Source organism: Homo sapiens, chromosome 6 (assembly GCF_000001405.40).
Source record: "Homo sapiens chromosome 6, GRCh38.p14 Primary Assembly".
NCBI classification, from domain to species: Eukaryota; Metazoa; Chordata; class Mammalia; order Primates; family Hominidae; genus Homo; species Homo sapiens.
In genome coordinates, this window is record NC_000006.12 from 130,766,387 (window position 1) to 130,793,942 (window position 27,556).

At 39.4% G+C, this 27,556-nt stretch overlaps 1 long non-coding RNA gene across 1 annotated transcript in view, besides 1 other annotated feature; it reads right to left on the minus strand.

Moving 5' to 3' along the window:
* LOC105378003 (uncharacterized) overlaps positions 1-4,285 on the minus strand; it is a 29,316-nt gene extending 25,031 nt beyond the window's left edge. Inside the window, exon 1 of the long non-coding RNA XR_942991.2 lies at positions 4,106-4,285. This is a non-coding gene — a long non-coding RNA (uncharacterized LOC105378003). The remainder of the gene's footprint in view (positions 1-4,105) is intronic.
* Positions 8,979-9,148: an enhancer, noted in NCBI's record as "experimental_89674 CRE fragment used in MPRA reporter constructs". NCBI's record gives its function as "activates a minimal promoter by MPRAs in K562 erythroleukemia cells, with activity observed for the introgressed 6:131096595 variant allele {active_cell/tissue: K562}" and the evidence as "EXISTENCE:reporter gene assay evidence [ECO:0000049][PMID:34662402]".

Here is a 27,556-nt window from a genome sequence, read left to right on the forward strand (position 1 = left end):
TGTTTATACCAGCACCATTACAAACACATGAGTAATCCACTGCACTACAACGTTGTGAAGACTATGACAACACCAGCTGATAGGAATTTTTCAGCTCCATTACAATCTATGGGACCACAGTCATAGAGGCTGTCTGTCATTGGCTGAAATGTCATTATGCAGTGCACGGTTGTACAGGATTGGCTTATCATTTTTAAAGATTGCAAACATTTTACAGGAATACTCTAAAATTGAGAATTTAGGATGAAAATAGTTGAAATTCTATAGTGTTCTCAGTTCACCAGTGTTTTTTTAGAGAACTAGGATCAAATAAGGCTTCAAGGGTCAGAAATCTCAATTTTGACTGAGTAATGGCTCCAGAACAGCAAGTTGTGGTGTCACAGGAGAGGCGTTAAAAACACAATCACATTAACCTACCGAAGAGGCAGTTTGACTGCCTTCCTGTCACAGAGCCTTAGAAAGTTATCATGCTTAGAGTGAAGTTTCAGAGTTTCTGAGGACGGGTCTGTCTCATGTAGCACTCAGGGTTGCTGCTCTCCACACAAATGGGGCTGGGTCACATAAGATAAGACACAGAGGCTGGGAAACATGACTGAAGAGCCATGACATCAGGCCGAACAGCATTGGCAAGTAAACCAGCTGATGTTTACCTAAATTACTGTAAGAAGTACAGCTGCTCTTTGACTTACAATGGGGTTACATCTCAGTAAACCCATGATAAGTTGAAAGTATCTTATGCCCAAACTGTGTTTTCAATTTAGGATATTTTCAACTTACAAAAAATTCATCCGGATGTAACCCCATCATAAATCAAGGAGTGTACAGAATGAATATTGCTTTTGCATCATTGTAAGGTGGAAAAATCACATGTCAAACCATCATAAGTTGGGAACTGTCTGTACTGGTTTTGTTTTGTTGTTTTGTTTTGTTTTGAGATGGAGTCTCGCTCTGTCGCCCAGGCTGGAGTGCAGTGGCGAGATCTCGGCTCACTGCAAGCTCCGCCTCCCGGGTTCACGCCATTCTCCTGCCTCAGCCTCCTGAGTAGCTGGGACTACAGGTGCCTGCCACCGCGCCCGGCTAATTTTTTTTTGTATTTTTAGTAGAGACGGGATTTCACCGTGGTCTCGATCTCCTGACCTCGTGATCCACCCGCCTCGGCCTCCCAAAGTGCTGGGATTACAGGCATGAGCCACCACGCCCAGCCCCCTGTACTGGTTTTGGAAGTAGCCCTGAAAATTTGGTACACTCAGACCTCCTTCCAAAGAATCCACTGTGGGTTACATAGTTGGCTGACAGCCACAGGCTGTTGCCCTTTTGCATCCATTGCTGCTGTAGCATCCTGATCATGCTTTCCCCAAGATGGTCCCAGCCAATGATTAAGCATGGTTGGGATACTAGTGTCAACCTATTCCAGGGCAGTGAAGGATTCTTCCAAAGGCCAGCCTTTGCTCTGGGACTGTATTAATCCATTCTCATACTGTTGTAAAGAACTTCCCAAGATTGGATAATTTATAAAGAAGAGAGATGTAATTGACTTGCAGTTCAGCATGGCTTAGGAGGCCTCAGGAAACTTACAATCATGGCAAAAAGGGAAGCAAACACATCCTTCTTCACATGGTGGCAGAAGAGAGAAGTGCCAAGTGAAGGGAGGAAAAGCCCCTGATAATACCATCAGATCTAGTGAGAACTCACTCACTATCATGAGAACATCATGGGGGAGTTGCCCCCATGATCTAATCACCTCTAACAAGGTCCTGCCCCCAACACATGGGGATTACAATTTAGATTACAATTCGAGATGAAATTTTGGATGGGGACACAACCAAACCGTATCAGGGACTCCCCATCACCTGGCCAAAACTTTCTTAGAGTTGAGTTGTCAACACTTCCTCCTTAATCCTTCTTCCCTCTCTCTTTTCATGAGTATCAGACCAACAATTTGGTCTGAAGCAGAACTAACTCAGAAATACAAAGTGAGCCATACACATAATTTTAAATTTTCAAAGTAGCCACATTGAAAAAATAAAAAGAAATAAGCAAAATAAGTTTTAAGTATATACATTTATACTTGCCAATGGTATATTTTATTTATTTTCAAATACTATTTCAGCCTACAGCCAATATTTTAAAAGTCATTTAGGAGATATTTTACATTCTCATATATGTGGGGGCGGGGGGTTGTTTTTGATTTTTGGTACTAAGTCTTATAAATCCAGAGTGTTTTTCATACATTTCACCTCAACATGGTCACATTGCAAATGTTCAATGCCACAGTCCCATGTGGCTATTGGCTACCTACCCTGTTGGACAGTGCAGTTCCCAAGGTTCTTACTGCTCCATTCCCCTTCATCTTTCACATTCCTACTCTCCTCCACAAATCTTTCACGTGTCTAACTCTGTCTTAGCATCTGCTTCTTGGAGGTCATGAACGGGCACAGTTTGCCTCATTACTTCTGCTCCAAATACTGTTAACAGGTGCAGATTAAAGAAAAAAAATTGTCATTATATCACTCTCCTGCTCAAAATACTTCAGTGGCCACCCGCCATTTAGAGGAAAATCTCTCCACTTGATTTCCAGTGGCTTCCACAATATTGCTATCCTCTACCTAGGCAGTTTTACTTCGAGCACTCCCACACACACCTCCCTCAAGGCAGGTAGGTCCCCTCATTGTCCTACAAACCAATCAACCTCATTTTTTTACCACCTTCAATTGCTCATGCTGTTCCTATTTCCCAAAATGCTATTTCTTTCCATTTCTCTATTTGAGGTTAATTTTTTAAGAGTCACTACTAGTATTTCCTATCTGTACATTTAATATTTTTAAATTATACTGGATACCACTGGCATATTCATGTAAGAAACTATGCATGTAATTTTCAGAAGATAAACTAGTGTACAATATTTAAGTTCAATATTTATTTAACCAGTGTGAAGTTACAGTAGTACCCCCTTATCAGATTTTGATTTTTGTGGTTTTAGTTACCTGCAATCTGAAAATCTTAAGATATTTTGAGACAGAGAGATCGCATTCACATAAATTTTATTTCATCCTATTGTTATAATTGTTCTATTTTATTGTTAGATATTACTGTTAATCTCTTACTGTGCATAATTTAACTATTTTAACTACTAAAGCCCTTTAACTAAATTAAACTTTATCATAGGTATGTATGTATGGGGAGAAAACATAGTATATGTACGGTTTGGTACTATTCACAGTTTCAGGCATCTACTGGGGGTCTTGGAACATATCCTCCATGAATAAGGAGGTGCTACTGTACTCAGGATGTCCTTACTCAGTAGACCATAAACACTGGTGAACACAAAGAAGTAGAGGCTGTAATTCCTGTTTTCAAGATGGGATGGTTAATTTTATGTGTCACCTTGGGTAGGCTATGGTGCCCAGCTCTTTCATCAAACACAAGTCTAGATGTTGCAGTGAAGGTTTGTTTCAGATGTCATTAACCTTTACACTTAGTTGACTTTTCATAAAGCAGATTATCTTTCATAATGTGGGTGAGTTTTATCCAATCAGTTGAAGGCCTGATGAACAAAGACTGAGGTTTCCAAAGGAGGAAGGAATTCTGCCTCAAGACCGCAGCATAGAAATTCTGCCTGAGTTTCCAGTCTGTTGGCTTTCCCTGCAGATTTCAGACTCAAGATTGCAACATAAACTCTTAACTGAATTTCCAGCTACCCAGCCTGCCTTACAGATTTTGGACTTGCCAGCCCCCACAATTCTGTGAGCCAATTTCTTAAAATAAATATCTATCTATCTATACATGCATATATCTATATCCTATTGGCTCTGCTTCTCTGGAGAGCCCTAATGCACAAGAGTTTTTCTTTCAGTTGTGCAGATTAAGCAGGAAAACTTGGAAAGTTAAATGATGGCACAAGACAATGTGTTGCAAAAATAAATCATTAAATTGTAACTGTCAAATTCAAACTCCAGACCCCCCCGACATGCTCAGGTGTTGAGAAGAAAGATAAATCACAATCGGCTAGTTATCCAAATGAAAGCCCAAGCACTCAAACATTGTGGTGTTTAAATTTGAAACTATTTAAAATTATAAAACTAATTTGTTAACATCCCAAACTTACCTTCTTAAAAATCACATCCTACATTTGGTCTGTTTCAGCTTTTGACAAATTATGCTTCTGCTGATGTAGCAGGACGAGCCGTGGACAAAACCCCTCAGACACCGAGATAGTGAAGGAAGTGGCTTTAATCAGCTGGGAGCACCGGCAGGCTAGCTAGCGTCTTAAAGTCCGAGCTCCTCAGGTGCTCAACTTCTGTCCCTTTTAAGGGCTCACAACTCTAAGGGAGTCCACCTGAGAGGGTCGTGATCAATTGAGCAAGCCAGCGGGTATGTGACAGGGGCTGCAAGCACCGGTGGTCAGTGTGAAACAGAATAGAATGGGAGGTTTCACGATGTTCTTCCATACAATGTCTGGAATCTATAGAAAACATCAGTTGCTAGGTCAGGGGTCAAATGTTAACTACTAGGCTTAGGTCAGGCAGGCCCAGGCCTGGTTTCGGGTCTGGTTCCTGGGCGCCGGGCTACCTGCCTTTAGTTTCACTTCTCTCCTTTTCTGAGTATAAAACAATATAAAATAATATGAGAGGGTCTCTCTCTTCCCTCACTGAGATAGAAGAGAAAGCATGACCTAGTTAAACTTGGGCAAAACTAATCTTGCAAGTTGATCAAAAACCTGCTTCACAAAAACTCCCTTGAGAATACCTCAGGAAGAATTGAAAAGATCCCAATCTAAATCAGGACAGAAAATTATGGTTTTCCAATGTTATACACATAAGAAAGGCTGCCATGTGCCTTATTAGAGAGGCAATTTTATTTTAACAAGGGATTTTTAAAGGCTAACTTGTTTCATTTTCCCTGTTTCACCCTCCTTTTAACCACACCCTTACGCTTTTTTGCAAAACATTTTTAAATTTGGCAAACTCAGCCGTACCTCCCCTTTATATCACAGCAGACAAAGTTGAGATTTGTAGTTGCTTAATCATAATTAATCAATGGGATACATAACCCAGAAGAAAAATCAATAATAAAGGAAACGTTATATAAAAAGTCTAATGTCTGATAAAGGACTGTTATCCAATATACAAAGAAATCTTGAAACTCAACAATAAGAAAACAAACAACTTGATTTTTAAAATGGGAAAAAACCTGAACAAACATTTCACCAAAGAAGATAAAGGTGGCAAGTAAGCATAAGAAAAGATAGTAAACATCACGTCATTAGAGAACTGCAAATTAAAACAAGAAGCTATCACTACACACCTGTTGTAAAGGCCAAAATCCAAAACAGTGACAACACCAAATGCTGGCAAGGATGTGGAGTGATAAGAACTCTCAATCATTGCTGGTGAGCATGCAAAATGGTACAGCCACTTTGGAAGACAGTTTGGCAATTTTTTCCAAAATGAAATTCTTACCATTTGATCCAGCAATTCTGCTCTCTGGTATTTATGCAAATTAATTAAAAACATATGTCTAAACAAAAACCTGCATATGCATGTTTACAGCTGCTTTATAATTGCCAAAACTTGGAAGCAACGAAGATTTGCTTCAGTAAGTGAATGGATAAACTGTGGTACATGCAGACAATGAAATATTCAGCACTACAAAAAAAAAATGAGCTAACAAGCCATGAAAAGACACGAAGGAAACTTAAATGCATATTACTAAGTTGAAGAAGCCAATGTGAAACGGCTACATTTTATATAATTCTAACTATAAGACATTCTGCAAAAGGCAAATAAAAATATTTATTTGCCAATAAAATATTACGGCAATAAAAATATTAGTAGTTATTGGGATTTAGTGGAGAGGAAGGGATGAATAGGTGGAGCAGAGGGGATTTGGGATGCAGTGAAACAACTGCGTAAGAGACTGTAATTGCGGATACATGTCATAATACATGTATCTAAACCCATAGGATGTGCAACAGCAAGAGTGAGCCTTAATGTTACCTTCAGACTCTCCGTGATAATGATGTGTCAGTGTCCGTTCATTGATTGTGACAAATGTACCACTGTGGTGAGGATGTCCATAGTGAGGGAGGGAGAGCATGTTGAGGGAGAAGGAGGAACATAACAGAACTCTCTGCATTTTATGCTCAATCTTGCTAAACCTAAAACTAAGCTGAAAAATAAAGTTTAATAATTTTTTAAAATCCTAATGTCTTATTTCTACTTTGATTGCAAATAATCTGTGAACAGTCTATAGACCAAGGCTCTCAAATTTCACAAAGCCCTGCATAGCAACCCCTTATCTTACCTTTTGCTCCTTCAGAAAGCCCTATATTTTCCAATTCATTCTCAATTTTCACAACTTTCCATGAATATCTTCTCACTCTCTTCTTCTCCTCACCCCTAAGCAACTCCTTTGCTTGTGGAGGATGGGGAAGGAGAATCAATCTAATCATGAGATTTAAACAATTTGAAGTATGTATGAATGACTGAAATTTCTACAAAGTGAGAATCGTGTTAATGCAAACCTCAAAGGTGTGCGGAGGTGAGTTTCTAAAGCAGGGCACCCTCTGGGCCTTTGGTCTCCTCTGAGCTGTCACCATCAACCCTTCCCATTCATCATCTCACAAACTCAGCAAAGTAACCAGGCATCCCACTTTTGAAAACATCATGAGTAAGTGGCCAGTCAGGTGCTACTAGTCAAAACGTTCCATATCTGTGAATTCTAGACTTTGGGATAGTCCCCAGTGATGACGACAGGTAAGTGCTTTAAGAGTTGAGTCTAGACGGTGCTAGAACACCTCTCAGCTAACAGGCCAATGGGGCTAAAGTCCTCAGTGAATTAGACTGTGCTAATCACTTCTCCCCTGCTCACTCCTACAAAATGTCAGTCTGTCAGTTATCACCCGTACTAGCATTTCAAAATTTGCATTGGGCAGCATTATCACATGGCTTTAATGCTTTATTAGTGGATTGGCCATATGTGCCAATTGCCTCCAGCAATCCCAGGTTACACCTCTTTTACCAGCAAATTATTGATAGCTCCCCCTTTCACTCTCAAGAGCATCCCCTTCGGGGCAATAAATAATAATGTCACTGGCATGGTTAATACTGAGTGTCAACTTGATTGGATTGAAGGATGTAAAGTATTGTTCCTGGGTGTGTCTGTGAGGGTGTTGCCAAAGGAGATCAACATTTGAGTCACTGGACTGGGAGAGGCAGACCCACCCTCAATCTGGGTGGGCACCATCTAATCAGCCGCCAGTGTGGCTAGAATAAAAGCAGGCAGAGGAATGTGGAGGGACTAAACTGGCTGAGACTTCCAGCCTTCTTTATTTTCCTGTGCTGGATGCTTCTTGCCCTTGAACATCGGACTCCAAGTTCTTCAGCTTTTGGACTCTTGGACCTACACCAGTGGTTTGCCAGGGGCTCTCGAGCCTTCAACCACAGACTGAAGGCTGCACTGTCAGTTTCCCTACTTTTGAGGTTTTGGGTCTCAGACTGGCTTCCCTGCTCCTCAGCTTGCAGATGGCCTATTGTGGGACTTCACCTTGTGATCGTGTGAGTCAATACTCCTTAATAAACTCCCCTCTATATATACATCTATCCTATTAGTCCTAACCCTCTAGAGAACACTGACTAATACAGTGACCTATTCATGAGAGAGGCTGACCTGCTATTTTAATAGACTTTTAACTGAATGCAGTAAGAAGAAGACAGTAGTTCTATAGCTACTGTATTAGTCAGAGTTCTCCAGAGAAATAGAAGCAATAGGACGTGTATACATAGAGAGAAAGAGATTTAATTTCAGGTATTGACAACAGTTCATGTGAGAAAAACTTGGGGGTTTAAATTAATCCCTTATAGATACGCCTGATATTGCTGTTACCAAAAAGAAACAACAACAACAACAAAATGCAAACAAAGACTGCTCTAGGAAAAGTAGATTACCTTGAGCAAGGGAGATAATAGTTTCTCTACATTTTTTGCTAGCCAGATTGTAATTTCCCTGTTTTGTTTGGTTCTGAGCACATTTTGAGAGGTCTTGATGAAGCACAGAGCTTTTAGAAAAATATAGCAAGAAATATCATGGCAACAGGGACCATCTAGATAGCATGAATATATAGATGTCTTCAAATGCCAAAGTGTTAGGGCAGTATATTTTGGTGTGGTGTGAGGAAGAATTTCCCAGTTACTGGAGTGCAATAGACGAGTGGAATTCACGAAGTTGTGAGCTCACTGTCTTTGGAAGAATCTAACAGATTTGAATAACCTTTTTGAGTGGTATCGTGATGTGTGGAAGGATAAACTCTACATGACTTCTAAGTTCCTTCTCAATTCTAACCATTTAAGTTTAAATAGTCTATAATGAGAAATTGTTATTATCTTCAAAAGGATTCCTCTTAGGCAGTGAACTGACATCAAAAAACACACCTGCTCAGGATCAATGAGATCCTGACATAGAAGATGTTGGCAGATGCCAAGACGTCAAAGAAGTGCTGTAGCTTTTCAGGAGGCAAAAGAATATGGTAAATTTGCCAATTTTGAGGCACCACCAAGAATACAATATTGAGATTCTGATATACACCCCAAATACTGAAATAAGTATATATGTTTATTATACTATTTAATAGATCTATATGAGGGGGCAATGACAAAGACATAGCTGAGAGATTTGGAGAAAATGCCGTAATCTGAATTTCAGATATTCAGGAATTAGATTTTTTGACATTCTGCTAAGGAAAATTTTTCTTACTGTAAATCTGAGTATAGAAAAAAACCATTTAGAATTACAAGTTTCCAAGAGCTCAAATATCTTTCTACTTGGTGTTAAAAAAGAACTTTAAACATTTGTCAGCCTTTGCTGTGTTACTTATCCAACCATTCTGTCTCCTCTTTGCCATGTGCGTCTATCAAAACTCAGTTCTCTTCAGTTCATGCGGTACATCTTGGGAAAAGCAATCCACTATTGGCCTCAAGAATCTCTGCATTTGCTTGCTGAACACACCAAAAATACAAGGCCCTGACTACTCTTTACCCAAGGCATTTCTCAGAGCTGGGTTTGTAACCTTGAGAAACGAGGGCAACACCTCTCCTAAGACAAAGAGCAGGCTTGCTTCTGCTTATTACAAAAGTGGCAGATTCTCCAAGTTCAGAGTTCCTCTCCTGTAATGCAACCCACTGCATGTGCAGGCATCCATCTGGGCCCACCTCTGCCATCTGCTGTGTGTGACTCAGGGGCACGAAGCTCTGGCTACTGCTTTTGCTTTTGTAATAAAGTTTTTTAGCTCTGACCCACAAGTCTCATGTCTTCTGCCAATATTCATGAAGTAAGAAAAAGGCTAACTCGTAAGTTTGTAAGTAGGATAAAATCTCAGACCATTTACAGTTCTTAACAATACAATTGAGGAAGTGGCTAATAATTACACTTTCCCTCTCCACCCCAAAACTGATCCCAACATTGGTTCAACCAGGTGTTAAGCTATTGAACAGAGGAATGTATTGAAAGGAGAAGGATCAGAAAAGAAATGGGATGGTGTCTGGAAGCACTGGCCAAAACTAAGCACTGACATGGAAATTCTGAATAGACTCAAGTAGTAAAGACAAACTCCATAACTGTGTTTGAGACCAGGCCTGCCTACCTCTTTCCGAAAAAAAGCTAAAGTCTATATTTTATGCCTTTGAACATTTCTTTTGCTAATTTATTCATTTAATGAATATTCATTGAAAGGCCTGGGGCAAGACTAAAGAGAGAAAATTTTCGGAAGACATCTATAGGGTGATTGATTGGGACTCTAGCTATTATTCTGTAAGTTATTTTATATTCTAAATAAAATTATCTTTCCCTTGTTCTACATTTATTCATGTGCTCACAAAGCTCATTTTCCTGATCTCTTGGGTTCTATTCCAGCTACATCTTTATTCTGCATCTCCTTGTCTACTAAAATTATAATATTTGTGAACCTTCTCCAATAAGATAAAAAATACAACTGTTATACTCTGCCCAGTTGAAGACTTCTGCTTATCTTAGAGTAACCCACATTTAGGTGAGCCTCCTATATTCATGCAATCACTCAGCATTCAACAAATATTTACTGAGCCCTTTCCTTCTACCAGGCACTGTTGTAAAGAGCTGGAAACGAGCAGTTAACAAGACAGAAAAGAGCCCATTCTAGTGGGTACCTAGAGATAGGAAGGGAGAATTAAATGCATGTTCTCAGACATGGCCAAAAGTGAAACAGGGTAATAGGACAGAGAGTACAAAAATAAAGATTATTTTCTATTACTGACTATAGAAAGTGTTGCTGAGATCACACTTAGAAAGTGAAAGAAAACCAACAGCTTGGACACCCAGGGGTAGAATGTTTCAGGCAGAGGAAACCACAAAGGCAAAGGAACGAGTGGCCCATCTGAAGGACAGAGTGCATCAGAGCAGCCAGAACTGAGGAGGCCAATGAGGGGAAGGAACTGAAAGGGTCTATAAGATCCCCCCACAGTCATCTGGACGTAAGAGCTGAGGGAAACTAAGGCTGGGAGTCCTGTGAGCAAAATAAATAACTATCCAATCATGTATGTTCTCCTAGATTGATCTTAAGACAGTTAGAGTAGCAGAAAGCATGCTCCCAGAATCACTTATCTCAGCTTCTCAGTAATGGATGTTCACCAACTTCACAACAATGTGTAGGACACATTATGTCACTGTGTTTTCTCAGCCCTGTCATGTCATTTCCAACATAGTCATCTTATCAGAGGTAGAAATAACAAAGAAAGAATAGAGAATAATTCTAGAACATCAGATCATGGGATTAGGGGATTAAATATTGTTATTACTAATTGAGCCTTGAACAATGCAAGAGTTAAGGGCACCAACCCCTCTGGTAACCAAAAATCCAGGTAAGGCCAGGCACAGTGGCTCACGCTTGTAATCCCAACACTCTGGGAGGCCGAGGCAGGTGGATCACTTGAGGTTAGGAGTTCGAGACCAGCCTGGCCAACATGGACTAAAACAAAAATTAGCCAGGTGTGGCGGCAAGCGCCTGTAATTCCAGCTACTAGGGAGGCTGACACGAGAGGATTGCTTGAACCCAGGAGGCGGAGGTTGCAGTGAACTGAGATGGTGCCACTGCACTCCAGCCTGGGTGACAAAGCGAGACTCCATCTCAAAAATAAAAAATCCATGTATAAGTTTTGACTCCACAAAAACATAACCACTAATAGCCAACTGTTGACTGGAAGCCTTGATGACTATGTAAACAGTCAATTAACACATATTAGGTATGTTATATGTATTATATACTGTATTTAAGCTAGAGAAAAGAAAATGTTATTAAGAAACTCATAAGGAAGAGAAAACACGCTTACTCTTTATAAACTGGAAGTGGATCATCATAAAAGTCTTCATCCTCACTGTCTTCACATTGAGTAGGCTGAGGAGGAGGAGAATATAGGGGTTGGTATTGGGCTTTCAGAGGTGGCAGAGGTGGAAGAGGTGGAGGAGGGAAAACGGAAGGCCGGAGAGGCAGGGACACTCAGTATAACTTTTGTGGAAAAAAAATCCACATATAAGTGGACCTGTGCAGCTCAAACCTGTGTGGTTCAAGGGTCAACTGTAATATCAAATGCACCAGAAAACACATTTTATGCACCCGTGAGCCCTAGAATAGAGAGAGGTGGGAGAAGGGAGAAAAAAGATCCTCCAGGTAACCAGCATCAGATCTCGTGAGAGTATTAGGGCCTTACCTAGGGAAAGGATGTCATTTAGAGATCAACAGAAGAAGAGGACAAACGTGATCCACACCTTTTTGCCTTGGTTCTGTTTTTCCACTGGATGTGAAGACACAGGAATGTCTAATATTAGCTCCTGCTGGAAGTTTTTAATAAAGGCATTAAAGCTGACCCTGGGTCTTATCCAACTAAGTGAATGGGAGAAGATGGAAAGCTCTTTAACATTTTTATGTATTATTAAGCATTATCTCAATAACCAAACAAATGTTGAGACCAGAAATAATTGACCCATAATTCCATCATTTTAATAAAATTGAATACAATATAAATTTAAATTTTTTCTATTGTCATTTCTAATCTTTTTATATAGTCTCACTTATAAGTAAAATTGTTGTAATAATTTTATAGGTACAATCTCATATTCTTATGAAGATTTTCTTTTCTTTTTTTTTTGGAGGAGGAGGAGAGAGTTGGCTTCATTTCTGGTTATCCAAGTGGGCTGCACTGTCTGGGTGGAACACAACCCTGGCTTTTAAATTTTCACAACAAAGTGACAACACTGCCTTCTGTGCATCTGGTCTCTAAGCACATGGTTCTCCCTTTTATCAGCAACATAGACTTTATTCAGGACAAGTACGTATCAGAGAAACCAACTGTAATTCAAAAGCTCCCGTATATCCAATATGAGAGTCAAATAGACAAGCAAACCACCTATTCTTTTGGGTTTTCCAAGCTCTATCTTGGTATTGCTAGATCATCAGAAAGTGAAGTTTCAGAATCACACGATCTCAGCTCTCCAATGTCACACTATATTCTGTATAAAGGGTTGATACTGGACGATTTCGTGCAAAAAGCACTTTTTTCCTTTTTCATTGTGAGCCAGATTTACCTATGAAAAAAAGACTCGCATTGTAAATGTGTTATGAGGTTTTGTTCTAGAAAAAAAGTCACTCTCTGCAAAGCTTTTTCATATGCTTCCTTTTTCTAAAAATTAAAGCATAAAATCAGGATGATGTAACCCCAATGCGCCTTGTGGTTTGGCTTAGCTGCTTGGAAAGTCAGTCACATTTGTGACCCATTATAGCAAACATTCTGCCTGAGACTATTTGTTAACATCTCTTCCTGCTCTTTATAAACAGTTTTCTTTTAACTTCATCATTAATTCTGCACTAACTTTTATATCATATTAAATCCTCTTAGATGAAGAGGTTATATAATACATGTAATATGCACTAAAGGGGTGATACGTACGCCAAGTATAAAGGGCACTTCAGGGGATCAGGACAATTCCGTGGACCGAGGGGTCAAGCCTTTAGTGATTTCATCACAGCATTCAGACTGGAGAAAGGAGGACATTTCTGCAGGATTATTCCTTGAACAAATTTAGTAAAGGAATCTTCTCTGTAATAAGAATACATGCCTGACCATAAAGAAGGACTGCTTGGGGCAAAGAATGGAGCATGAAGCTGCACAGGCATCAGGGTCAGTACTAGAGTGCTTTAAATATCAAGTTCATGAGTTTAATTTCTAGCCTCTAAGTAATTTTTGAGCAGGGAAGTGGCTGATGAAATTGTCTAGATAATTATGACCAAGATGCCACCATCAGCAGATCTACATTTCTCTGGAGGATAGTTCACGTGTTGTATGGATGGTGCAAGTTTGTTTTTAGACATTAAAATTTAAGTCCCAGCCGGGTATCTTAGTGGAAATGCCCAGTAGATTGTGAGATAGGAGCCTGGAGCTTGTCAGCAAGACAGATTTTTGGAAATTATCCATATAAAAGAGCATTAAAGAAGCAATAAGAAAAGATGAGTGCTCTGGGCTCCTTCTCCTTCAACAAATATTTAAAATAACCCCAGAGGGCGGAGACTCCACGAAGAGACAGGTTAAGTTCTGAATTAGAGGGCATGGGGACCAATAGGACACTTACTGCCATCGAAATTGATGCCTTCTCTCAGTCCCACAAAGACTAAATTTAGAATGGTCTTTCAATGCTTCATTACCAGATTAGAGAGTTAATGAGTAATCATTGCTTTGTTTTGGGTTTTTTTGTTTTTTTTTTTTTGGCAAGTGGGTAATAAATAATGATGCAGAGAAGCTAAAAAAGGGAAGAAAATGTATGTTATCCATAAACTGGGAAAACATTCCTTAGGGAGTAACAAAAGAGCAATACTGCCAGCTCAGCTGGGGAAAATGAAGAGGAGGCAGTGCCTCAAGGTTGTCTAGTGATACCTTATATGGCAAATAGTATTCAGTGTCAAGAGAAAAAAGCTCATACCGTGGGAAGCCACAGCCCTCTGTTAAAATCACTAAGAGAATGAGAGAAAAGGAGGAAATAGAGGTAATGCTAGTATCTTTATAGCAAAGGTAAGACCTTTGAAATGTGGGACTCAGACACATGATAAAAGAGCCACATAAATTACACTCAAAAATAGCCTGGTGTTCATGGGCTATCATTGGAACTGGTTAGTCTGAACCTGGCTGAGTGCAAAAGAGAATGTTGCAGATTGGGAAGTTCAGTGTGACCTATAGGAAGATGGAGGTCAGGATTGTAGAGAAGAAACTACAGAAGACAAAACTGAGACTTGAAGATTAGATGACGGGCCAAAGAGTTTGGGCTCCACCTCATAGGTAATGGATTTGATCAGAAATTTGTAAGAAAGGGAAAACAACAAATTCCTATTTATGTTGGAAAATAGGACTCCAGTGTAGATGCACACACCACCTTGCCAGATTCCAGCAGGAGGGAGGCCAGTTAGAAGTTTTTGCAATGGAGCTGATGAGGGCCTATGCTAAGGAAGCCATAGGAGAATGAGGGTGTGGCGGGAAGATATGTAGCATTATTCTTTCAGTATAGTCATGGACTTTAGAAAGCAGTTCTCTTACAGTCAACTTTTGAGCCACCATTCCTCTTTTTAACTTTCTGCCTTTGTATAAATCAGCCAGCCAGGGAATACAATTTCTCAGAGGTGAGGAGGAAGCACATATGTAAGCAATACCACCTTGCTCAGCAAAATAGAATGTAGAACCTCCAGGGCTTACTGTAGTGCTTAAGAGAGGTGCTCATAGGCCAAGCGCAGTGGCTCATACCTGTAATCTCAGCACTTTGGGAGGCCAAGGATTGCTCGAGCCCAAGAGTTCAAGATCAACCTGGGCAACAAAAGGAGACCCCATTTCTAAAAAGAATTTTAAAAATAAGTTAGCCAGGCATGGCGATGCTTGCCTGTAGTCCAACTACTCAGGAGTACTAAGGTGGGAGGATGGCTTGAGCTCTCCTGGTTGAGGCTGCAGTGAGACCTGAGTGTCATTGCACTCCAGCCTGGGTGACAGAGAGAGACCCTGTCTCAAAGGAAAAAAAAAAAAGTGCTAATACATGGAGTCCTGATGCCATCACCCTCAATGTCCTCTTCCTTTTGAGAGTTTCTCTTTTGATTGTCATATTCCCAACACATGGGTTCCACATGTTGGGAGTATGACAAGGTAGACATGGTAGTCTACCTTTAAATTTTGATTGTACCCAGAGAGCTCTTTCCATGCTTCGCCTTAGCAATGACAAAAAAAAATGCACTGGCAACTGAGAATCAAAAGGAAAAACTTGAAAGAGATACCATATCCTCTAAGCGCCACCCTATAGCAAGCTGTCAGGTCAGACCACAAGTGTGGTAGAAACCTTCAGAGTCTGAATTGACACTGCCCTGGGTTATATTCAAATCCTCTCTCTTCTAAATAGTCTTATGACCTTAGCCAGTTCCTTCAATGCTCTAGATCAGTCATATATGATTCCAAGGAAAGTGGACACAACTTAAGAGACAACGTTTGAAAAGCAACTGGCACTATATGAGCATGTGTATCTGTTAGTAACTTAATTTCACTGCTAGCAAGAGACCCAACTCCAGTGGGTTTATTTATAAATCCACACAAGGGTTTGTTCTCTTACAGAGAAGAAGTCCAGAGGTAGGCAGTCCAGGCAGGCAAGACAACTGAAGAAGTCGTTAGAGACCCAGAGGTCCCTTTTCTTCCACCTTGAAAGTCACCTCAGGGCCAAGATGGCTGCTGGGCACAGGAAGGAAGAATGCATGCCTTCCTTCTAAAAGGAAGTAACTTTCAATTACGACTCACTGATCGGAACTTAGTCACACGATCATATCTGATATAGTTGGGATACGTGTCTCCTCTAAATCATTTATTGAAATGTAATCCCCAGTGTTGGAGGTGAGGCCTAGGGCAAGGTGATTGGGTCATGAGGCAGATCCCTCATGGCTTGGTGCTGCTCTCACAGTAGTGAGTGAATTCTCCTCCGATCTGGTTAAGTGTGTGGTACCTCTTCCCCAACACCTCTCTCTAGCTCTCCTTTCCCCATGTGAAGTGCCTTCTCCCCATCCACCCTCCACCATGAGTAAAAACTCCCTGAGGTCTCCCCAAAAGCTAAGCAGATACCGGCACCATGTTTGTACAGCCTGCAGAACCGTGAGCCAATTAAACCTCTTTTCTTTATAAATTATCCAGTCTCAGGTATTTCTTTATAGCAATGCAAGAATGGCCTAATACAATATCTAATTGCGAAGTATACAGATCTAGCTGAAAATCTAGTTTTTAGCTGGGCACACTGCCCTGGGTTCTTTTACAAAAAAGGAAAAATGGACATTTGTTAGTAATTAGCACTGTCTGCTAAAAATTTTATTAAATGTTAGTCCCCTTCTCTCTCAATATAAAAATATTCATTGTGGGGCTGAGTGCAGTGGCTCACACCTATAATCCCAGCACTTTGGGAGGTTGAGACAGGAGGATCCCTTGAGTGCAGGAGTTCAAGACCAGCCCGGCCAACATAGCAAAACCCTGTCTGTACTAAAAATACAAAAATTAGCCAGGCTTGGTGGTGGGCACCTGCAATTCCAGCTACTCGGGAGACTAAGGCAGGAGAATCACTTGAACCAGGGAGGTGGAGGTTGCAGTGAGCCAAGATTGCACCACTGCACTCCAGCCTGGGTGACAGAAAAAGACTCGGCCTCAAAAAACAAAATTCATTGTGAAATTTCATATCTTTGGTTTTTAATTGATCAGTGGCATAATAAATGGTCAAATAAAGAGTATTTTTGCATCTTTTAAGAAATTATTAATATATCATCCAAAATCCTCAATGGTCCATGACTTAGGCAATAAATTAGTGCCAGACCAAAAATCCCTCTCTCCTGGTTGAAGGGATTTTTTTGGTTTGTTTCCCCTTTTATTAGATAAAAGGTGTATTTTTTATTTCATCATATTTTGCTTTGGCTAGCCATTTTGCAATCAATTTTAACATCATCCTTAGTCTAAATTTTAGATACAATCATTTCCCAAACATTTTATCAATTGGCTCTTATACTTTTGTTCTTGTATTAATAATTCTTAAGACATTTGCATGTGAGACTCTTTTGGAAGTTTAAGGAAGCTGAAATAACAAATCAATCCAAAGATTTGGCACTTGTTCAGTGAATTCCTTTGAACTGTTCTTTGGCTCCAATGCTCCAATGCTTAAATAATTACTAGGTAATTGCAAAATTTAGCTTCCAAGGCACTATATGAAGAGAGCTACCATGAAACTAATGCCAGTGATGTTTTAAGATCTGGAAATACAATAAAGAGTTTTTATTCAAATATGATGCAACGGAGTAAGCAACAAACTATAGTGAAATCCATTTTAAGAAACATTAAAGCCTTGTAAAAATTTTCAGAACTAGAATTGAATTGTAGCCAAGTACTTTCAAGAAACTAAATCTAATCTGACAAGAAACAGGAATTGTTACACGAATACCTTTAATAAAATGGACATTTGAGAGAGAAAAAATCACAAGAGAAATGGAAAAATTCATAAGATTAAAAAACAGAATGAGACCTATGAGGTTATTTAGAGGGCAAAATGCTAGAAAAGATAACATGAGAATTGCTCAGTGGTCATAGCATTTTTTTTAAAAGGCTAAATAGTAGGGTTTCTCTGTTTAGGACAAATGAAGACAATTCTTTTTTTCTCAGCTATTCATTGTCAGAGAAAACATATTAAGAGATGAAGGAATAAGGTGAGGCAAGAAAATGAATTCTGACCATCTTTATCTAGAAAGAAAACCGGTGATTAAAAACGAATCTTCTGTCTTTTCCCTTTACCTCACATATTGATATGGTTTGGCTCTGTGTCCCCACCCAAATTTCATCTCACATTGAAATCCCCATGTGTCAAGGGAGGCACCTGGTGGGAGGTGATTGGATCATGGGGGCAGTTTCCCCCATGCTGTTCTCATGATAGTGAGTGAGTTATCATGAGAGCTGATGGCTTTTAAGTGTGGCACTTCCTCTCTCTCTCTCCTGCCACCATGTAAGACATATCTGCTTCCCCTTCACCTTCAGCCATGATTGTAAGTTTCCTGAGGCCTCCCCAGCCACAAGGAACTGTGAGTCAATTAAACCTCCCTTCTTTATAAATTACCCAGTCTCAGGTAGTATCTTTATAGCAGTGTGAGAACAGACTGACACACGTATCTATCCTGATTTCCCATCACACACTCTGCCTCTATATTGACCTGTTTCCTTGCAACTCCACAACTGCGCAGTGCATAGAACCATCTTTGTGTCTTCTCTCATGGTCTTCCCTCCTTAGGAAGTTTTCACATAGCTGTACCTTAACCATCCTTCCAGGACCATCTAAAGCCTTATATTTTCTGACAGTTACTGGCCTCAATACAATCTTTTCTTTAAATTCTCCAGCACTCAGGCTCTGCGACACAACACAGCACTTAATTATGTACAGACTGATAGTATTTCAGGTTGTTTTACATATGTTGGTCTTGGAACTAGAGGGGAAGCCGCCTCGGCACAGAAGCCACTTTCCATGTCTCTGAGGACCTACTGTGCCTCATACAAGCCCAGCACAGATTAGTGTCAGCTGTAGAGAAGGCAACCCAGACCCTATACTTCTATGTATGTGTTTTCCCTTTTTCTCTTTGTATGACACTTAATACATGCAATTATTAACTCTCCCCACTAACAATCTAACATTGACACCTGAAAATGTTTTTATTTTCTTGGCAGTTCTCCCCCTTTGGAACCAGAGCAGTAGCACAAGGAAAGAGCTGGAGTTGAGGGATTCAAATTCAGTGAGTCTTAAATTCAATGACAAGTCTTTATGAAAGAAGAAGAAACAGAAACAGACATGGGGGAGAAGTCCATGCAAAGACAGAAGCAGGGATGAGGGTGACAAGCCTATGGGCCATGCAATGCCAAGGATGGCCAGCAGCCACCACAAGCTGGAAGAGACAGGAAGGATTCTCCCTAAGAGCTCTCAGAAGAAACAGGGCACTGCCAGCATTTGATTTTGGACTCCTGGCCTCTAAAACTGTGAGACAATAAATTCCTGTTGCTTTAAGCCACCAAGTTTGTGGTAATTTGTTACATAAGCTATAGGAAACTAATATAGTCCCTTGTGGAACTTTACATTTTAGTAAAGAGACAAAATACACTAAAAAGAAAGTATAATATAGTAGTGAGCGCAGTAAGAAAACAAAACAGGCTAATGTGAAAGAATGTCACTAAGAGCTACTTTCAATTAGATGGTAAGGAAGCCTCCATTTACTCTCTTCCAGTGTTCCTAGAAAAAAAAATTATAATATCCAAATTCATTAATTTGTTAAGCAGTTTTTCCACGCTCATATTAAATATTATTTTCTTCAGTTCATTTTTATTGTAATTTTCTTTTTTTCGAAACAGGTCTTTGTATGTCACCCAGGCTGGAGGGCAGTGGCATGGTCTTGCTTCACTGCAACCTCTGCCTCCCAGGTTCAAGCCATCCTCCCACCTCAGCCTCCTGTGCTGGGACCACAGGTGCACAGCACACTCGGCTAATTTTTTTTTTTTTTTTTTTTTTTTTTTTTTTTTTTTTTTGGTAGAGATGGGGTTTCCCCATGTTGCTTAGGCTGGTATTGAATTCCTGGCCTCAGGCAATCCTCCCACCTCAGTGTAGTTTTCTTTTTTTTACATGTTTAATTGATAGATCATAGTTGTACATATTTTAGGGGTATATGGGATATTTTGATACATCTATACAATGTATAATGATAAAATCATGGTAATTGAAATATCCATCACCTCAAATATTTATCTTTTCTTTGTGTTGGGATCAGGACAAATTTTTTCTTCTAGCTATTTTAAAATATACAATAAATTATTGTTAACTGTAATTTCCCTACTGTACTATTGAATACTATAACTTATCTCCTCAACATAATTGTATGTCTCTACTCATTAACTTACTTATTTTCATCCCCGTACTTCCCTTCCCAGCCTCTGATAATCATCATTCTACTCTTTATCTCTAGGAGATCTACTTTTTTTGCTCCCACATAAGAGTGATAATGTGATATTTGTATTTCAATGCCTGGCTTATTTTACTAAACATAATGACCTCCAGTTCCATCCATGTTGCTGCAAATAACAGGATTTCATTCTTTTTGTGGCTGTATAATATTCCATTGAGTATGTATACTACATTTTTTTTATCAGTTCGTCTACTGCTGGATACTTGGGTTGATTTGATGTCTTAGCTATTATGAATAGTGCTGCAGTAAATATGGGAGTGCAGATATCTCTTTGATATACTGATTTCCTTTATTTGGCTATATACCCAGCAGTGGAATTGGTGGACTGTGCAGTAGTTTCTTCAGTTCATTTTAAAGTGTAAGTGAGATATTAGTATTTCCAGATATCTGCTCTAGAGCATCATTAGCATGTACCTGATGACCTGGAAACAACAGTGCAAATTGCTCTAAGTTGTGGCCATAGCATATACTTAAGATTAAAATAAAATTATAAAATAAATCACTTATCCAGGAAATAGATAACAAACTTCATTTAAGTCAACATTGTCCACACTGTATTTCTTCATATAATAATTATTGCATTCATCTTATTATGAAATGTTGGAGATTTTAAAAATAGACATAGTCCTGTGCTAGGGAAGTGTGCACAGGACTATGCACAGTATTTCTATGGGGAAATACTGACATTGAATAAGTTATTTCAAGCAAAAAAGAATGTTTTAAAAAAGAAAATATATAGGGTAACAGCAAGGGTGGGGTCGAACAGAGAGTGCAAATGGTAAAGACCTCCCTGCTCATATATGTTCTTTATTCAACAATTTTTTTTGAGGGCTTACTATATGCCAGGCACAACAGACAATAATAGGTCCAATAAGTGAATTATTTACTATTTTATAATAAGTAAGTTCTATGGGAAAAAGGAAAAGTAGAAAAGAAAAAAGGAGGATGCCTAAGTGTCCATTCAGAGATGGTATCATTGAGAAGGTGAGAATTGAGCAAAGAACTGAAAACATTAGCCAGGCAGATGTATAGGCAAAGAGAAGAGCCAGTGCAAGGGTCCTAAGGCAGAGTGTAGCTGGCACGTCCAGGGAATGACAAGGAGGCCAGGGTGGCGGAGGCAGAGAGAGTGAGGAGAGAGGAGAAGACAAGTTCAGAGACAGACCGGGAACGAGATCCTTTAGGGCCCTGTAGGCTACCGTGAAACCATCTTTTACTGACAGTGAACAGGCAACAACAACCAGAAATGTTCTTTCCTCCCCTACGTAGAGTCTCAGTGACTGGATGGTTCAGCTCCACCATGATTTCTAACTTGAGGACCACAGGTATTGGCATTGCCTAAGGAAGTTTATCATCATTTCCACATACAAGCAGGCACATCCTCCTCCCTTCCCCTGGTTACTCTCACACAATCTAGGAAAACTGCATATCAATAAATAGAAGGGCTTGCCAGAACTCTGACAGGAGAATGGCATTAATGCATTTTTAAAGGTGAAAGAATAAAGCCCATTCATAAATCAAAGTGAGCTAATTTTAAAATGTCACCTGGCCCACTGTCACTCTGGGAAGGAGTGGGAGCAAGGAAGAATAGACTTCCAGTTGACATGGTGGGTGCAGGGGGAACATCTGAGCACCAAGATGCCTCAGCGTCTTTTATCCTGTCAGCAGTATTAAGAAAAAGAAAAAAAAAAAAAAAACTGGGCCACGGGACCATTTTTCACTTTGAACAAGACAATGTTAAAAATTAAACTGAAACATTAAGAAAAGAGGAGAATATCTCCTTGTTTTGAAAAAGCATTCAAAAGCATGGCCTGTCAAAGAAACAACGTGACCCAGAAGACAAGCAGCCTTTGATGTGGTCCTTCATATGACAGTTTTGAGCCTGCTCTACTCACCCAGAGGAGAGCCATTAGATTGGCAGCAATGGAAAGAGGAAGCTTGCACAAGTTCTAGTCTCTTAGGCAAAGTACTCACCTTGAACCAGAAACCCTTCCTGTAATTTTCTTCTTCAGATGAAATAAAGATTTATAGTCTCTACAATTCATAATTGCAAGTCAGAAAACTCCTGGGTCAGAACAGAACCTATGCAGTTGGCCTCAGGAGAGTTAGCCTTGTACACCTGGAACAGCCCATCCAAGTATCTTTTATGTGACATTTCCTTTACAGCTATGCAGCCCACAGGTATTAGGTTGGTGCAAAAGTAATTGTGGGTTTTCCCATTACTTTTAGTGGCAAAAACCGCAATTGCTTTTTCATCAACCTATACGTAGCTGTCTTAGCAGTCTTAAGATACCACATTTTGTATTTTTTTAAAAGAAATCACCTATACATTCTCAACCATTTTTGTGGGGGCAAGTGGAACAAGGGGAGAAAGGCAAGTTGTGCTTTGTTTTTATCTGAACTATAACTCCTATAACCTGAGCAATAGAAAACACATTAATCTCCATAAATATAGACTCTTCTAAACAAAAAGTCCAGAAGATTATCTTAGACAATACCGTCGTTTTACCGAGGAAACCCAGCTAACTAGACAAATGATGAAGTGATTCAATGTCTCCGTCAGCTGGTGTCAACATTTTTAAGAGGCGAATTGTGAAACTTTAAAGGAAATCAAAGTGCTGCAAATTCTGTGCGTAATTTGTTTCTCTTCCTGTTAAAGCAAATTCAGTTCCAAACAGGGGCAGTTGCACTACACAACTCCAGAGGGCATCATTCCTATTGTAGTCTACAGCATGTCCCCTTCTGGAACTACACAGTGCAGGTTCTAGATAGAGGTACTCAGTGGCCCTTCCCAAATATCATTTGGTCCTTCACAAACACCAGGTTAGTAAAAAAAAATGCACAGACTTCCAATGTAAACTTAAACATTAACTTCTTTGGCCTCGTTTTTTGGGGAGCTGGTTAAGTGCAAAGTTTGACTAAAATAAAATAAGGGTCTCCAGCTATTCGGGAGGCTGCGGTAGGAGAATTGCTTGAACCCGGGAGGTGGAGGCTGCAGTGAGCCGAGATCGCACCACTGCACTCCAGCCTGGGCGAAAGAGTGAGACTCCGTCTCAAAAATAAATAAATAAATAAAGTAAGGGTCTATGCAGAGGACATTTTCTTTTTCCAGTGAAACTGCTGACAACTACTATAAGAGATCAAGGGCTTCGTAGGCAAAAGTGGTCCCTCCTGTATTCCTACTTCTTCTACCCCAGTTCAGGCCATCATCAGCTAGTTCTATTGCTATGGGTCCTTCATGATAATACCTAGTTACCTCTCTAGCTTCACCTCCTAGTCCTCCTCATCTTGCATTTTCCACTTTGCTAACATCAAATCAGAGTCCGACATAACTACCTTCCTGTTTTGTGCCTCCCTGAGTTTGCTCATATTGTTTCCTCTGCTTAGAACACTCCTCCCATCATTCTGCACTTGGCCAACTCTCAAGCATCCTTGGGGACTAAGCTCAGGTCTGACCTTTCAGAAAGTCTTCTCAGTTCTCTTCTCCTCGATCCATTGGCTGTGAGAAGTGGACTTCTTTAAGACAAAACATTTCATGCATTAAAATGACTTCCACGTCTCCTCCCACTAAATTGTAAGTTCCTCCAAACCATAACAATAAAAGAGTCCAGGAGATCAGCAAACACATTATGTCTTCAGACTCTGATCCTGACCAAGCTTCTCTGCCCAAGCTATTGGGCAGTTAATCCTCAAGAAACATTCACCATTAGCTGCAGTCACTGCCATGGAACATCTTGATTAGGTTGTAGTTACATCATCTGATCATTGCTTATGAGACAATAAGTTGCATATCACAACCCATTTTTGGACACCCTAAAATCTTAACCATGAGATTCCATAGCCAGTCAGAGAACAATTTTGGGCAGTGCGTAAGTTAAATATTTAAAGTATCTTGAGTGAAATTGGCCTTGCTTATAGATATGGTTAGCCATTCATTGCCTATTTGAGAGATTTGCATTGTGATAACTGCCTTGGAGATTGAAAGACTACCATTAAAGATAAATTCCTAACAAATTATTTCAATCATTGATGGTCGACCAATTCAGGGAGGATTAGCTTATACTGCTCCAATTTATACAAGTCTGATTAATATCAGAAGAGAAAAATGTGTTAAATTCCACTGGTCTTGCACAGTTTCAAATGCTATTTATGAGTCAGATGAATAATTCTTCTTAGATCATTCTTAGATAGAAGGATGCTCCCTAACATGTGTCTATCATTCAGAGAAGGCTCTCCCCAAGTTAAGTTTAAAGAAATATGGAGTGAGTGATGCTTAAAGCAAACAGTTGTTTGTCATGGTTATACAGAATTAACTATGCAAAAATACTGGGAAAACTGTAAAGTACTACATGATTATAATTAAAGTTTTTCTTTCCAATTTTCCTTTTTCTAGATTCTTGGTGTGGGTAAAAAAAAAAAAATCCATCTTCTTTATATATTAGACAATGATTGGCACACAGCAGAGATGCAAAAAAATTATAAGGAGTAAATGAACTGATAAAAAAGCAAGAAAGATAGAAAAGATTGAACTACCTACCTAATCCCAGGAAAGCAATGCTCACTCTGGCTCTCAGTATCTTCATCTTTACTGTGATAGAGTTGATACTAGATGATCTTGAAAGTTTGCTTCAAGAGTTATATGCTCCTACACTCCTCTGACCATAGCTTCCCTGTCAATCATTAACTCTTCATTTATATTGGTAATTGGATGGCCCCTTTTTTTTTTTTTTTTTGGAGACAGACTCTTGCTCTGTCACCCAGGCTGGAATGCAGTGGCGCGATCTTGGCTCACTGCAAGCTCCGCCTCCCGGGTTCATGCCATTCTCTTGCCTCAGTCTCCCGAGTAGCTGGGATTACAGGCGCCCACTACGAAGCCTGGCTAATTTTTGTATTTTTAGCAGAGATGGGGTTTCACCATATTAGCCAGGATGGTCTTGATCTCCTGACCTCATGACCCGCCCGCCTCGGCCTCCCAAAGTGCTGGGATCTTTTTTTTTTTTTTTTAACATGCTTTCAGAAAATGCTAAAATGTCTATGTTTACAAATGATTTTTTAAATTGAGAACATTTAAGATAGGCTGTTTTCTCTAGACAGCTAAGAGTTCTTTTATCAATAAATTGAATTTACATATCACTGTAGGTGGGTTTCCTCCAAAGAGTTAATTTTGTCCAACAGATAAGGAATCATGGAAACTTCAACCAACAGAAACATTAATGGACTCAAAAGACTGATCATTTCCCATTTTCATTTCTACTATGTTTCAAATCTATTTCCATTGGACGAATATTGCTTTAGGATTAACTGTATGTTAGGCGTTGTACAAGGCACCACACCCTTGGTCCACAGCCTGCATTTGGTTTTGCATTGTGTATACAAATTATAAGTATAAATTAATTTCCTACATGTAAATAAATACCTAGACAGCCTGAGAAGCTAAGCCTTAAAATGTTTTTCATTAAATATATTTACCTTGGAACAGCCTCATAAGGATTAAGGATCCAACAACTCAATCCAACAACCCTCAAAGATTAATACTCAGAAGTCACAGAAACAGGGCCGTAGACTTATCTCTCTGCAACGTCCCCTAACTTACTAAGATTAATGACCGTGACACCAATCTTCACTACACATTACACCGACCGTGTGCTAAACAGGATTTGTGTATCTAAAAGAATCTCAAAATCTCAAGGCCAAGAATCCCGGCCTTCAAGGACTTTATGATATTGTGAAGAATTCTTTATTTAGTCAAACTTCCACTCAGCTGAAAGTCGGTAAGCCTCATGTCATGACAAAGGTAGGGAATCCACATAGCTGGAGTTTGCAAAAAGAAAATATACAGTTGCTATCAATAACAAATTGGAAACAGACAGGGAGAGAAATCGGCAAGCAAGCTGATGATTTGATGATTAACACGGGATCAAAGTGCCTCACAGAAACCTTTGCTTGGGTCATCCTGAAAGTCTATGCCACTGCTAGTCACCATTCCAGGAGTTGTGAATTTTTGCATTTAAACAAGGATAACTGTAAACACCACAAAACACTATGGGGAGCTTGCGTTATATTAACTTAATTCAATCCAAAAACAAAGTGACTAATCCTTTCTAATCTTTCAGAAGGAAAATATTTGTACTGCCACATTTGTAATATCAATATTTATTGCCTCACTTTTAAAAATCTTCTTATGGGGAAAATCTGCTGTTACTTGTTTGGTATACTGCCAGAGCACTTAATTGAGAAACGATAAAGAAAAGTGAACAAAGAAAGAAAAATACGTCAAATATTAAAGAACAATATACTGGGTGGTTTTTCATAAGTCTAGCTCTGGTAATTGTAAAGTTACATGACAACAGTTCCAGTTGTGTAACAGTCAAATCTCATTAGAATTCAGCAAGTAGGAGAAACAAAATCAATTTTTAGCAGTGGTGTGAATAAACCAGTATGTCATTTTATTTGCACCATAACAATGCACCTAATAAGACCTTCTTCAGCCAGGAAACTTTTGAATAAGACAAGTTGATAGAGAGAGGAATTAAATTATTCTGTGATTTATTCTCCCTTCCTATTGGCAAACTATGATCATTATTCATCAATCTTTCTTTTGCTAGTCATGGCATCTGATGTATATAAAAGCAGACAATTCTAAATAACTGTTGTGAAGATATTCAAAATCCTTTCTTGTCAGCTCTGAAATGTTTTTGGCTTTGAAGAAGGTACTATTGAACTCATCTAATATTTGCAGATAAAATCATTTTAACTTTAAAAGAAACACAACTTTTTCTAAAGCAAAGGAATATGGGATTGTAATAAATACTTTTTCAGGGCAAGGAAGAAGGAAAAAGGGAGAATGAGAAATAGAAGAAAAAAGGGGAAGAAAATAATGTCCTACATAAGAGTTAAGATAATGCAAAATGTAAAACACTTTTTTCCTTTTGATTCTAATATATCAACTTTTAAAATTCCCTTTACTCTTGTAAATGGTTGCCACGAATTTCCAAATTCAGCTGGAGATGAGGAAAATACAGAAGGCACTCAAGTAATGTGTGGTAGCCTTACCAGTACTTTCACCCACTCATGTTTTGCAAGGAAGACTTTTCTGAAGCTGAGGAGTATATCATGACAGCAGACAATATATGGGAGAGTACAGAGATGTAAATGTTGCTCCTGATTCCATTCCTACTGACCTGTCTGACCTTTAGCTTTTCTTGCTCCCTGTTTTTACATTTATAATTGAAGTTTTGAGGCAATCTTGAAGTAGCCTCCCAGGCTCCAGTGTTTTCTCTGCTCACAGTCATCGTCCACGTGGCTGCCAGTTATCTTTTGATAACATGTACGTCTTCATCCTGCTATCATGATTAAAACGTCTGCTGCCTTCTCAAACAGACAGGATAAAATCCAGCTCCTCAGGAGGCCCAACAAGGCCCTTGGCAATCTAACCCAGCTGTTCTTTGCGTCTTTATCTTCTACCTCCTTCCTCTTCCCACCCTCATACTATCCTGC